At 44.3% G+C, this 14,799-nt stretch overlaps 1 long non-coding RNA gene across 1 annotated transcript; it reads right to left on the bottom strand.

Moving 5' to 3' along the window:
* Positions 1-1,421: 1,421 nt before the first annotated feature.
* Positions 1,422-11,797, bottom strand: LINC02073 (long intergenic non-protein coding RNA 2073). Its single transcript, NR_146897.1, has 3 exons — positions 11,528-11,797; positions 6,796-6,991; positions 1,422-3,490 (listed from the first exon to the last, which is right to left on the bottom strand). It is a non-coding gene; the product is annotated as a long intergenic non-protein coding RNA 2073 (long non-coding RNA).
* Between the last annotated feature and the right edge of the window lie 3,002 nt (positions 11,798-14,799).

The following is a 14,799-nucleotide window of genomic DNA, read 5'->3' as shown; positions in this document are numbered from 1 at the left end:
GCCAGTGGATCTTAGCTTGTTGGGCTCCATCGGGGTGGGATCCGCTGAGCATGAGCACTTGGCTTCCTGGCTTCAGCCCCCTTTCCAGGGGAGTGAATGGTTCTGTCTCGCTGGCATTCCAGGCGCCACTGGGGTACTAAAAAAAACTCCTGTGGCTAGCTTGGTGTCTGCCCAACCAGCCGCCCAGCTTTGTGCTTGAAACCCAGGGCCCTGGTGGCATAGGCACCGGAGGTAATCTCCTGGTCTGCAGGTTGGGAAGACCATGGGAAAAGCATAGTGTTTGTGCTAGAATGCACCAACCCTCATGGCACAATCCCTCATGGCTTCCCTTGGCTAGGAGAGGGAGTTCCCCGACCCCTTGCACTTCCCAGGTGAGGCAACACTCCACCCTGCTTTGGCTCACCCTCCATGGGCTGCACCCACTGTCTAATCAGTCCCAGTGAGATGAACTGGGTACCTCAGTTGGAAATGCAGAAATCACCCACCTTCTGCGTTGGTCTCACTGGGAGCTGCAGACTGAAGCTGTTCCTATTCGGCCATCTGGCCTGGGAATCCCCCTGTATAAGGTTTTTATAAGCTTTCCGATTCAAATAAAATTGGCAACATTGCTTCCACAACCTCCTAGAAGACAAAGGCTCTTCCTAAGATTTCTATGAATCCCCAAAGACATACATTTTTGTGACCTCCACGGGCTTTGAATCCCTAGTCTTACCAAATTCGGTCTTGTTTCTGAATTCCCTTCCCCACCTCTTCTTTCCTCTGCATTCACTGATCCTAATGTGTGTACAGTAAACACACCTGATAGCATCATTGAAGCACACCCTTAGAACAACCCTGTATGGCAGATGCACCTGAATGTGTGTTCTGAGCTAGAGAATCCGGGAGTGGCCAACCTGGAGATTCATTCCTTATCTACAATAAACATCTGAGTCCCTGGCCCATCTGGTGAAACACAGGCTGTACAGGGGATTGAGGCCCTGAGTTTTGGGTTAAATGAAGGTTGCCAGGTGAAGGTTGTTGGAGGGAGGGGAGTAAGTGGAAATGCTACATAAACTGCATGACATTTGCAGGCAGTTGTGGTTTTCCTCTCCAGCCCGCAGCTACTGGGCCCTGTGGTTATCTTGTCCAGCCCGCTGTCGCTGCACTGTCTCCCTTGTGTGGAAGCCCCTAATAAGACCCCATGTCTCATTTACTGGCTCTGAGTGTCTTCTTTGGCCTCTTGAGCCTGGTGTCTTCCCTACTGAGATTAATAGAGGTTCAGCACAATGATGTGCAACAGAGTTTTTGTGGGTTTCTTCTGATTTTGCCCAAATCACTCCCATATTGCTAGAAGGATTTACTGAGTATTTGATGCAATGGCTGGGGACTTATTTCACAGAAAAAGAACTTGTAACCTAAAAATTCCCATTTTTTTTTTTTTTATTTCAGGTTCAGGAGTACATGTGCAGGTTTGTTACCTAGGTTAACTGGTATCACGGGGGGTCTGTTGTACAGATTATTTTGTCACCCAGGTACTAAACCTGGTACACAACAGTAAGGTACCAAATTTTGACAGGTTCAAAATTTCAGTGAAGGAAGTAACTGTGGATGTGGTAGAAACAGCAAGAGAACTTGAATTAGAGTGAACCTGAAGATGTGACCAGATTGCTGCAATCTCATGATCAAATTTGAATAGATGAGGAGTTGCTTCTTATGGATAAGCAAAAAAAGTGGTTTCTTGAGATGAGATTTACTCCTGGTGAAGATGCCATGAACATTGTTGTAATGACAACAAAGGATTTATACTATTACAGAAACTTGTTTGATAAAACAGTGGTAGGGTACCCAATAGTACCACATTTAGTACCTGGGTGACAAAATAATCTGTACAACAAGATTAATGTTTTTCTGCTCCTCTCCCTCCTCCTACCCTCCACCCTCAAAGAGGTCCCAGTGTCTGTTGTTCCCCTCTTTGTATTCATGATGTCTCCTCATTTAGCTCCCTCTTATGAGTAAGAGCATGCACTATTTAGTTTTCTGTTTCTGCATTAGTTTGCTAAGGATAATGGCCTCCAGCTCCATCATGTTCCTGCAAAAGACATGATCTTGTTCTTTCTTATGGTTGCATAGTATTCCATGGGACCTATGTACTACATTTTTTATCCAATCTGTCATTGATGGACATTTAGGTTGATTCCATGTCTTTGCTATTTTGGATAGTGCTACAATGAACATTTGTTGCACATGTTTTTATGGTAGAATGATTTCTATTCCTCTGGGCATATACCCAGTAATAGGTTTGCTGGGTCAAATGGTAGTCCTGTTTTTAGCTCTTTGAGGAATCACCACACTGCTTTCCATAATGGTTGAACTAATTTAAACTCCAACTAACAGTGTATAAGTATTTCCTTTTCTCTGCAACTTTACCAGCCATCGGTTATTTTTTGACTTTTTAATAATAGCCATTCTGACTGGTGTGAGATGATATATCTTATTGTGGCTTTGATTTGCATTTCTCTAATGATCATGATATTGAGCTTTTTTTCATTTGCTTGTTGGCCACATATATGTCTACTTTAGCAAAGTGTCTGTTCATATACTTTGCCCACTTTTTGTTGGAATTGTTAGTTATTTCTTATAAATTTGTTTAAGTTCCTTATAGATGCTGGATATGAGACCTTTGTTGGATACTTAGTCTGCAAATATTTTCTCCTATTCTATAGGTTGTTTACTCTGTTTACTCTGTTGATAATTTCTTTTGCTGTGCAGAAGCTCTTAGGTTTAATCAGATCACATTTGTCAATTTTTGCTTTTGCTGCAATTGCTTTTAGTGTCTTCATCATGAAATCTTTGCCCGTTCCTATATCCAGGGTGGTATTGCCTAGGTTGTCTTCCAGAGTTTTTATAGTTCTGGGTTTTACATTTAAGTCTTTAATCCATCTTGAGTTGATTTCTGTATATGGTGTGAGGAAGGAGTCCAGTTTCAATCTTCTGCATATGGCTAATCAGTCAACCCGGCACCATTTATTGAACAAGGAGTCCATTACTCATTGCTTGCTTTGTCGAAGATCAGATGGCCATGGGTGTGTGGCCTTATTTCTAGGCTCTCTATCCCCATTCTCAAAAATCCTCCTGAACCACCACTCCCATCCCCCACAATGGGAATTTCTTCTCACCACTTTTCTCAACAGTCTAGAGACTCTAGCTAGGTTTCTTGAGCTTCCTATATCTCTCAAGACCCTCCTCACATTTACTCACATTTGAGAGCTTACAAACTGTTCAACAAAAGGCCATGTTCTCTAGGCCTCATCCTTAAGGTGACATATTAAAGACCTCAAAACACGTTGTTCAGCCAAAGGATCTAGATACTTCCCCAGATGATGTCCCCAAGGCAGAAGTGGTGGCTCAGATGATTCCACAGAGCACTGCGTGGGTAATGTCTTCCTCTCTCACTCCAGAGGAACTATAAATAATTCTTGATAAAGGGTGAATTTCTTTCAACCTAAGAAAACTGATTTTTAAAAAATAAAAGGAAGAAAATAATAAATAAAGGGTGAATTTCTAACTCTTCCTGTCGAGACATCCATCCTGTTTCACTGCCTTCAGAAGAGCTTCTTCCTAACACTGTCATTAAATAATGTTATTTCAGTGCCCAGAAGCCTCAGCTTAGTCAACCAATTCCAGGAGCCCCATAGTTAGCTTATATCGTGGGGGGATTGGGAGGGATGTCCCTATGGCATGTCCCTATCTTCAACGGTATCATGCATCCCTCTCCCATGCTCAGACTCACTGTTTACCCACCTCCCTTTTCTCCTTACAGTTTGGAAAATCCCCTTAGGAAGATCTCCCAAGAGTCAGAAGGAAGTTCTAAAACTCATTTGAGATGAACCTCACCATGAGGGTGGTGGGTGCAGGTACACTGTCAGAGAGCCAAGTACGCGTGGTCTGAGGGCCAGAAATTTCCCTTGGGTGAAAGCAGGCAAAGGAGGCCTCTGAAAATTGCTCAGAAGAATCAGCACCTAGAGACACAGGATTTCTTTAAAGTTGAAGTCTTTGTTGAAAGATATGCTTGGACTGATGGAAAATCCTCACCCAGCCCACCTGCTGAGGCAGAAGCCCAAGGAGACTGGCTGACGCAGCAAAGAAAGAAATTAGGGGTACAATGGACTCCCTGGTAGAAGCTGCATGCTATCAGGCTCGGGGGAGATTCTAAGGAAATGCAATGCAGGACCTGGAGAGGATAATTGTAACGTGTAGTTAGACATGTTCTGGAGATGTTATTACAATACTGGCAGGGCCCTGAAGCAGAGGAGCGGGAACTGATAGTCAGTCTCCCACTCCCTGCTTCAGAAGTCAGCAACTGCCTTGGAGCTTCAAATGCCTCGGTCCCTGTGGCTGGCTGCCTACCTAACAACATTCAAACAGGTAGCTAGAAATGCAGAGGGAAACGGGGACTCAGACACTAAATGTTGACTGTGTTCCAACAGATAGGAGAAATGTTGTCCTCATATGTGTGTCAAAGAACAGTTGCTGGAGACAGCATGGGAACTGTGAGCTGGCTCCCAGAGAGAGGCCCACCCCAGACTGTCCCAAGGTGGCATGACCAGGCCTTTGGGATTCTGCCTCTGACACTCAAGGTTCTGGGGAGTGGGACAGCCCCCACCTCTGTCAGAGAGTTTCCAGTAGAGACCTACTTGGAGGCAGCTATCCTACTGATGAAGATGGGGTCAGCTATCCTACTGATAGAGATTGCCTCTATCAGCACAAATTGCCTCTTGGTGCTTAGCAAAGAGAATGTGACAGATCCAGGAAAGAGCCAAGAATGTGCCAAGCACCTTCTAAGGGCGGGAGAGACAAAAGCGAAAAGAAATGCCCTCTGCTCTAAAGAAGCCTGAGGTCTCCTGGAGACAGAGTTACACAATGCAAATTATAAAGCAGTAAAGTGAGGTCAGTGGTTTACACAGGTTCAGAAGCTCTCTGAGACCTGAATGGGGTATGTCAATGGCACCCTATGTTTACTCTTCAATCATTGTCTTTTCTATCTCCCATTCCTACTATACTGAGCATGGAGAGACGAAGTACTATGCCCCAGTCCACACCATATCCCTGCTATGGCATCATGCCTCACAGTGGCAGGTTCAGTTATCTAAGCGAAAATTAAACACAGAACACATATGTTAGTTGGAAAGTAAAAACTGAGATATTCACACCCTTAAGAAACATGGCACATGGCAGGAATACAGAGAAGTGATTCAAAAGAGGCAACACCTAGCACAGTACTCAAACCAAAAGAGCTCTCACTCTCATTTGGAAGAGTAGATGAAAGAATGCCAGACGTGGATCAGAGGGCAGGGCTGCTGGTTCACCTGGGCCTCTGGTGCAACGTGTGGTCAGGTGGTTAACCTCCTCAGCCTCATTCCATGGTCTTTAAAATGGGAATAGCCACATCCCCACTGCCCACCTAACTAACCTCATCAAGTTGTAGAGAAGCTCACACAGTCAATGAAGAGACAGACTATAAAACAGTGCTATCAAGTGTTATTCAGGAGTCAGGAGCTATTGTTCCTATGCTTCCCACTGGATGGGCAGGAAGGCCATGGCAGGCCCAGCAGCAGAAGTAGAAGCTCAGGGTTAGGAGAGAAGAGTGGCCGAGACCTCCTGCCTGTGTCTCTCAGCTCACAGCTCATGCTGGCTCCAAGGAGTCCCCACAGTGCCCCTTCCTCCTCTGGGCCCTGGGCCCCATGCACACATCAGCAGACCAGAACCACCTCTTCATCAAGGAGAGAGGTCTGGCCCTTTCCCAGCCTGGGCAACTTGAGCTGAGCTGCCCTGGACCAACGCCCGTCTATCAGAAAACCCATTCCTGCATTACTTGACTGAGGCCACTCTGCATGGGGTAAATATCACTCAGCTGGTGCGATGGTTTGAATCTTTGTCCCCTCTAAAACATAAGTTGAAACTTAATCCCCAGGGTGGCAGTATTGAGAGATGGGGCTTTTAAGAGGTGCTTGGGTCCTGAGGGCTCTGCTCTCATGAATGGATGAGTGAATTCCTGGAGTCATAGTTAACATGGGAGTGGGACTGGTGGCTTTATAAGAAGAGGAAGAGAGAGCTGAGTTAGCACGCTCATCCCCCTCACCATATAATGCCTTGTGTTACCTCAGGACTCCACAGAAAGTCACCACCAGCAAGAAGGCCCTCACCAGATGTAGCCCTTGACCTTACACTTATCAGCCTCCATAACTGTAATAAATAAATTCCTTTTCTTTACAAGTTACTCAGCTTCAGGTATTCTGTTGTAAGCAACAGAAAACAGACTAAGACACCTGGGGTGCTGCAAACCTCCACTCTGGTGTCATCTCTGCCTCACTTGAGCTGTGTGACTTAGGGGTGGGCATCCAACTCTTAGGAACCCTGTTTCCATATCTGCAAATAAGGGATTTCCAAGATCAGACGTTCTCAATCTCAGCACCATTGACTTTCAGGTTAGATGATTCCATATTGTAGGAAGCTATTCTATGCATATTTAGAGTCTGGCCTCGACCCACCAGAGGCTAGTAGCACACACCCACGCCCACCATGACAACCAAAAATATTTCCAGACATTACCAAATCCCCCGCAGTTGAGAACAACTAACCTAGCTGATTCTTTAGGGCTTCCAACCTGCTTGGACTTCTCCAGCCCAGGCACTCTGCCTTCAGTACAGGCTTCCTTTGCTTGAGACAAATGCCCCCTCATATCAACCACCACCTCCTCTTTAACAACCACACCCAAAACAAAGGCATTCACCTCTCTCCATGGGTTTCTTCAGTTACCTGCATTCTTGTATTCCATTTAAATGGTTGTCAGGCATGGAAATCAGAGCAGAAAGAACCCAGCTGTCACGTCACAGGGTCCAAAGGAAAAGGGAGATTTCTGGAATGATCTTGGAGTCAAGCAGGTCTGAATCTGAATCCTGGCTTTGCTCTGTGTCCTTCACCAATTCACAGAATCTCTCCAAGCTTCGACTTCCTGTGTATAAAGTAGGAAAATAAAATAATTCCATGGGGCCAACATGAGGATTAACTAAGTGTTGAAAGGGCCTGATGCTGTGTTTCCTCCACAGTGGCCTCTGGATGTGTGGTCACTTCTGCTCTGCTCTGCAGTTGTGTTGATGGCAAGGAACTCAGTGATGGGGAGTCCTTCCAGCACTTTGACCTGACCCCTTTCTCAAACCTAAGTTGACACTGCATGGCTTTGCTCCATCTCTCTTGGCTGTGGCAGCGTGTGGCCAGAGGCCCTGGCCCATTTTCATCTGGCCTCAGCAATAGATGCCTGGTCCACGGGCCAGCTCTCCAGTAGGAAAGCCAGTCCTCATCTTCAGAGCTCTGCCACCAACACGAAGCAATTAAGCCCAACTTCACATCGTATGGATGCATCCGGACTAAGTGGGAAAAGCTTCTGGGGAATTCACTACTTGCTGAAAACAGAATCCTCTTAACCCTGCTTCATCTCCCTTCCTACCCGCCCTCCCCAGTCCTCACAGTTCAGTAATTTAATAGGAAGGAAACAGAACCAACAGGAAACGGAGCTGCCTGTCTGTTTGCAATAAACACAATAGAATCTCACTTCAGAACAAATCCAGGAGCACAGGCTCGGCTATGAGTCATGCCTACTGATGAAGCATCTCCCTTCCCCACTGCAGCAATGAGGCCCTCCCCAAGACCAGGAAAGGCATGCAGAGAAAGCACATAAGCACATGAATTCTGCAGTGTGTGTGTGATGTTGGCCTGTCTGCTCAGCCTTCTCTCTGTCAGATAGAAAACATCAGAGCAGACCAATAACTTCTGGAGGCCTTGAACAAGTTAGCTACTCTATGCCTCAATGCCCTATTTGTTAAGCAGAGGTAGTAAGAGTACATTACCACATAAGGAGGTTGTGAGGATTGAGTGAGTTAATACATAAAGCACTTAGGACAGTACCCGGGATATACTTACTACTATACAAGAGTGCCATGTTTTTGTTGTCATCATCATTATTATTATCCTCAGTCTCTGCTCCTTATTTGGGGACCCCAGAGACAGATGAGATCCAACACAGCACTATTATCCAAGCTTTCATTATTGTAATCACAATCAAAGCCAATGATGATTGAGAACTGACTGTGTGTATGTTTCTTCATTCTCTATGGCCATTCTGTGTGGCTCAATATTATCTCCATTTTATAGAAAAGAAAACAGGCTTAGGGAGTTTGGGAGACCTATCCAAGGACACCAATAAGCAAAGGAGCCACTAGATGTCACATCCAATTTGGCTTAGGTCTCTTCACTCCAGAGCCTGAATGTCACTGGGTGGCATGGCCTGCATTTCCCAGCACTTCCAGAAATTTCTGAAACACAGAGCACATTTCTTGCCACAATGGGGTTGCAAACAACAGAAAGTGATTTTGCCTAACTTAAGCAAAAAGGGATACCAGGGAAGGAGAGGCTCTGGGAATCCACTGGAAGGCTGGGACCCAGGCCTGGATGCTGCTAGGGGGCACAGACAGTTCCTGGAGACAGGAAGAACAGAAATGGTCCTACCGCAGGAGTGGCAGGTCCAGGCATCACCAATGGATGACGTTTGCAACCTTCTCGCATTTGCTCAAGGTTCAAATTCTAGGGAAAAAAGCATCTCTTTGGCAGGGTTTGGGTCACATGTCCCCTTCATGTTTATTGGAAGTCAGAGATCTTCCAGACTAAAGACACTGGACAAAAGGTAATTATCCCAAAGGATACCAAGGCGCTGTTAGGAATGAGACATGGATGCCAGAGGGCCCCAAGGCATGCTTGCCGGCACCACGAGGCTTCCAAGAGTTTTCACATCACGGCACACGAGGAAAAGAGTGAGTCCTCTAATAGGGGGTGAGTCAAGTTACCTTGGGTGTGACAGAGCTAAACAAGAATCCTAATGTGCTAGAGTTTGAAGGAATCTTGGAATTATCTCATCTAGCCTCCCCCCTTCCCTTTTTTTTACAGACAAGGAAATTAAAAATGGTGGGTTACCAGAGCCGCACCACATGTTGGTGGTAGAGCCAGGACAAACAAAGGATTCTGCAGCCCATCAGCACCTCTTCCACTAAAATACTAATGATCTCCCCCTATCCAGAAGCGTTGCCACCCATTCCAAACACCAAGTCAGGCCACCGTGCAGTCCCAGAGATCTTTCTGGGGTCTGGAAAATCAGGTCAGTCATCTACTCTAGAGCCTCCCTTTCCTGAGCAGCCAGCCAGAGATGCCTTTAGGGGAAGCAGAGAACCAGAGAAAGGGGTAGTTCAGCCAACCTCGAGACACCTGTCCACACACATTGGCTCTGAATAGGGAGAAGAGTTGTTGCTCGTGCCTTTCCCCTTCTCCATCTCCCTCCCAGGCTCCTGTGATCCTTTGCTGTATCCTCCCATCCCTGAAGGGGTCCTCATCATTCACTGTAACCAGACTTCCCAGTATTCTGATGTGGGGGAGTCTGGGGGTTCTTTCGGCTGAGACACATCCAGGTGTCACACTTAGATAAAGATGGCTCTGTCTGTTCTTGGTGTTTTGAGTTGTGACATCTGGACTGCCATTGCTAGTGCTCTAATTTAGAATTTGCATCCCCACAGAGGCGAGCAGGGGAGTGGCGGGTGGGGCGGAATATGTGCTCCCAGGTGCTAAAGGGGTGGCCCCTGCCAAAAAAATTAATAAATGCTAGTTTTTGCAAATTCTAGCTCAGCTATGTACCTATAAGGAATGTGGGCACAACCATATATGACATTACCCAGGGGCATCATTAACCTGTCGACTCCATGCATTCCTTGTTTATATACTAAGTCAGGGTCACGCAGATAAAAGTCTACAAAATAGGGTGCAGTGTATACTGCCCAGGTGATGGGTGCATCAAAATCTCACGAATCACCCCTAAAGAACTTACTCATGTAACCAAACACCACCCGTTCCCCCAATAACCTATGGAAATAAAACATTTAAAAAAAAATTACATATCACCTAGTCAAACTTCTGGATGGGGAAGAAAATTCATTGCTCCAAACGCTTTATAAAAAGCTTCTGAGGCCAGGCACGGTGGCTCATACCTGTAATCCCAGTACTGTGGGAGGCCAAGGCAGGTGGATCAACTGAGGTCAGGAGTTCAAGACCAGCCAGGCCAACATGGCAAAACCCCAACTCTGCTAAAAATACAAAAAAAAAAAGAAAAAAATTAGCCAGGAGTGGTGGTGCACGCCTGTAGTCCCAGCTACTCGGGAGGCTGAGGCAGGAGAATGGTGTGAACCCAGGAGGCGGAGCTTGCAGTGAGCTAAGATCGTGCCACTGCACTCCAGCCTGGGCAACAGAGCGAGACTGTCTCAAAAAAAAAAAAGAAAAACAAAAACGCTTCTGAGAGTGTTGATGCTGCTACCAGAACAATGGCTTAGACAAGAGCAGACTTTCTCTGAGAAGGCAGAAAGGAATTAATACATTGCTCTTCCTCCTTTCCAAATGCAGTAAAGCTTGTGTTCCCATATATTAAAATGGGGCACTCTTCAAAATTTTCAAGATCATCACAAGCAATAAAACACTGAGACACTGTCACAGATGGGAGGAAGCTAAGGACCTCTGACAACTACACACAACATGGGATCCCAGATTGGTTCCTGGAACAGAAAAAAAGACATTCGTGGAAAAGCTGGTGAATTCTGAAGTCTGTAATTAATAGTATTGTACCAAAAAAGGTGAACAGCAAAGCAAGCTGGATGAAGGACATTTGGGAATTCTGCACTATCTTTACAACTTTCCTGAAAATTCAAACTAAAAAGTTAATTAAAGTGGGGAAGAGATCTCAGATAGGGCAAAGGATGGACCACCCCTTGGTACTAAGCCCAGCATGGGTGTGAAGGGAAGCCTTGGATGAGGCACATCTAAGAGACAATCTAGCTCAACCTCACTCAGGCCTTGAACGTTCAGAAACACTTTGGCAGAAATGCCAGAGAAAGGAAGCAAAGAAAATGCCGAGAGTTACTCGAGTTAACAAGCAGCACCAGCAAAAAACCCAGGAGAGATCATGGGGACTTATCTCATCCTTGTGAAAATACAAAGCAAAAAAAAACATCAGGCTGGGCCAGCTTGGGTGGTAAGCTCCCAGATTTAAAAAAAGAAGAAAAAATAAAAAAAATTCTGTGATATTTAGTAAAGGAAAACCTTAAAATTTTAAAGTATTAAAAAGGGAGCCAAGGGGTCAGGCAAACAAAGGGTGGAGAGGGGACCAAGATAAGCACCGGTGTCCTCTGGTCACAGGAGAGCAGAAATCAATCTGACTGTGCAAACAAACTCCCTGAAAGCCAAGCATGCCCTTGCCAAGTCCAACTCACCATTCTGAGGCTCCCTACCGGATTGACTGCTGGTAAATATCATGACTGCACAGCGCCCCACGTGGTGAGTAGGCTGAGTCTTGCATAGGGGCTCCCCTGGCTGTACATCTAGAGCTTGGAAAATCGCAAAACCCCACACACTCCCCAGCATCTCCACCTACAATCTGCAGCCACCTCTTGGCTGAGCTCACCCAAAATACTTTCAGCTGAAAAGCAAAGGTAGCAAAAACTCCAGGAGGTGGCCTTTGCATCCAGGACACATCGCAGAGTCTGTAAGCTTTGACTCTCGGTTTTTCTTCATTTTCCACACATTTATTTGTTCATCCAGCAGCTGCGTAACTGCCCAATGGGTTCACCTTGCCCGCTGCCTAGACACAGCTGATATATCAAGACAGGGGAATTACAATAGAGAAAGAGTAATTCACTGCAGAGCCTGCTGTGTGGGAGACCGGAGTTTTATTATTACTCAAAGGATCAGAGTTTTTAAGGACAACTTGGTGGGTGGGGGTAAGCCAGTGAGCCAGGAGTGCTGATTGGTTAGGTTGGAGATGAAATTTTAGGAAGCTGAAGCTGTCCTCTTGTGCTGAGTCAGTTCCTGGGTGGCGGCCACAAGATCAGATGAACCAGTTTATCAATCTGGGTGGTGTCAGCTGATCCATCAAGTGCAGGGTCTGCAAAATATCTCAAGCAGTGATCTTAGTAACAGTTTAGGGAGGCTCAGAATCTTGTAGCCTCCAGCCACATGATTCCTAAACCATAATTTATAATCTTATGTAATTTATTAGTCTTACAAAGGCAGTCTGGTGCCCAGGCAAGAAGGAGGTTTGTTTTGGGAAAGGGCTGCCATCGTCTTTGTTTTAAACTAGAAACTAAGTTCCTCCCTAAGTTAGTTCAGCCTACACCCAAGAAGGAACACCGCAGCTTAAAGGTTAGACGCAAGATGGAGTCAGTTAAGTTAGATCTCTTTCACTGTCTCAGTCATTATTTTGCAACAGCAGTTTCAGCTGCACAAGCTGATTCTCAGAATTCTTGCAGATTTGATCTTAACTTCATTAACTAGCCTGCCAAGTTATGCCATTAGATATGAGTTCTAAATTTCTTTTCAAAGAATCAATATGTCAGTATATTCAATTCTTTGCCTTCTACTTTTAAACTTCATCATAAAGCAACCTTTTTGTATTACCTGCTCCACCCTCATTTCAATCACCTGCTCCACCCTGACTCATTCCGATTACTGCTCCACCCTGACATTCCAATTATCTGCCACCTGTTCTGCCCTGACTCATCCTCCTCACTGCATAACCACGTTTTCCCACCAAACCACTCGCCCTGTCACGCTCTTTAAATTAGCCAATCAGAATTAATTTAGCCTGTGCAGTCTAATCCTAGCCAATAGGGGAACAACACAGCAGCAGTGGCCACAGCCCTTTCCCTCCCTTGTCCAGGTGTGTGCTCACCGTTGCTCCATCTGTAAGGACTCACCTTTCTATAGAAATACGTTGCCTTGCTGAGAATTAAAAAGAAAATTTTACATTCAAGTGCTATTTCTTTTGTGGCACCAAAACGTTATAATACCCATCTCAGAGTTAAGGAAGCCGATGGTCAGTAATGTTAGTTAAGCTCAGGTGACTAACAAGGGGCAAAGTTGGGGCAAAAATAGGTCAAACTTGAGGGTCAAAATTGTGTCCTCAACATCATAGTAGTGAATTGCTTACCATGTGTAAGGCTATGGGAGAATATAGACAACTTTTTTTTAATGGTCCCTGTCCTCAAACAGATAAACAAAGAGACCAAAAATGCCCACATATAATTCAATCGAATAAACATTTATTAATAATTAAATCTAAATGATAGAAGTGGGACATGAAATTGCAATGGAAGTTTAAATGGATTCTTAAACTATAAGAGGCATGCTCTAAGAAAAAAGTTAACATGCAATTAAAATTCCAAATTATTCTGGCAAAACTGGAGGGACAAGATCACTATTTCACTTGTGTAATTGTTGGAGAGATATATTTAACTATGTATATTAAATGTAAACACAGTAGAATATGAATTCATATTAGAACTTCTAATTCACTGGAGAGGAAGAAAAAGGAATAAACTTTATCAACCTAACAAAAATAAGTAAAGCAGAAATGAGGGAACCAATAGAAAGTGTAATAAACAGAAAGCATAAAATTAAATGGCAGGAGTGAGACCAAACCTCCTGGATGCCAAATTCATGTGAGAGGGTTAAATTCCACTGTGAAATGATAAAGGTCCTTGGGGATGGGTTGGAAAAACAAAAATCCAATTATATGCAATTTATAAGAGATGGACCTAAAACAAAATGATACAGGGAAGGTGAAAACAATTGGATAAGCAAACATGTATCAGACAAAAGCAAACAAAAAGAAACATGGATAGAGATATTAAGGGCTAAGAATAGAATGTTAGGCCAAAAATTTAAACAGTTTAAAGAAAGGATATTCTTAATGATAAAAGGGCACTCCATGAAGAAGTAGCTATAGTCATGAAATGTATGCAGTGAACAATCTACAAGGCAAAGGCTCTTAGAAATGCAAGGCAAATTCAATTTAAAAAAAAAAAAAAAAAAGCACAGTGAGAATCCAAAACATCACTCTTCAAATTTTGTAGATTAAACAGACAAAAGAAGTATAGACATCATTTTGGCAACATAATTATCAATCCTGATTTAATAGATATGTAGAAAGAGAACCATGTACACTAAAAAGGAAAATATATTCTTTTTTTTCTTTTTTTTGAGATAGTCTTGCTCTGTTGCCCAGGCTGGAGTGCAGTGGCACGATCTTGGCTCACTGCAAGCTCTGCCTCCCAGGTTCATGCCATTCTTCTGCCTCAGCCTCCAGAGTAACTGGGACTACAGGCGCCTGCCACCACACCACGCCCAGCTAATTTTTTTGTATTTTTAGTAGAGACGGGGTTTCACCATGTTAGCCAGGATGGTCTCGATCTCCTGACCTTGTTATCCCCTGCCTCGGCCTCCCAAAGTGCTGGGATTACAGGCATGAGCCACCATGCCAGGTCCCATAAAATATATTCTTTATTCCCATAGAAGACTTAAAAATAGGGACCATGTACTTAACCACATATGTTATTTTCTAAAAAGTTAGTATTTTACAGGTCATGCTAATTGACTATAATTATGCAAATTCAGAAGCTAATAATTAACAGATAAGCAAACAAAAAATTTTAATCATTGGGGAAACCTGAAAATTATCCTTTAAATAACTCGGGAATTTTTTTAATTATTAGAAATAAAATGACAAAATTGCCGGGTACAGTGGCTCAAGCCTGTAATCCCAGCTACTTGGGAGGATAAGGTAGGAGGATCACTTGGGCTCAGGAGTTTTAGATCAGCCTGGGCAACAAAGTAAGATCCCATCTCTAAAAAAATAAAAATTAAAAAATTAGCCAGATGTAGTGGTGCATGCCTGTA

This window comes from Homo sapiens, chromosome 17 (assembly GCF_000001405.40).
Source record: "Homo sapiens chromosome 17, GRCh38.p14 Primary Assembly".
Classification (NCBI taxonomy): Eukaryota; Metazoa; Chordata; class Mammalia; order Primates; family Hominidae; genus Homo; species Homo sapiens.
This window is presented reverse-complemented; position numbering and strand designations above follow the sequence as displayed.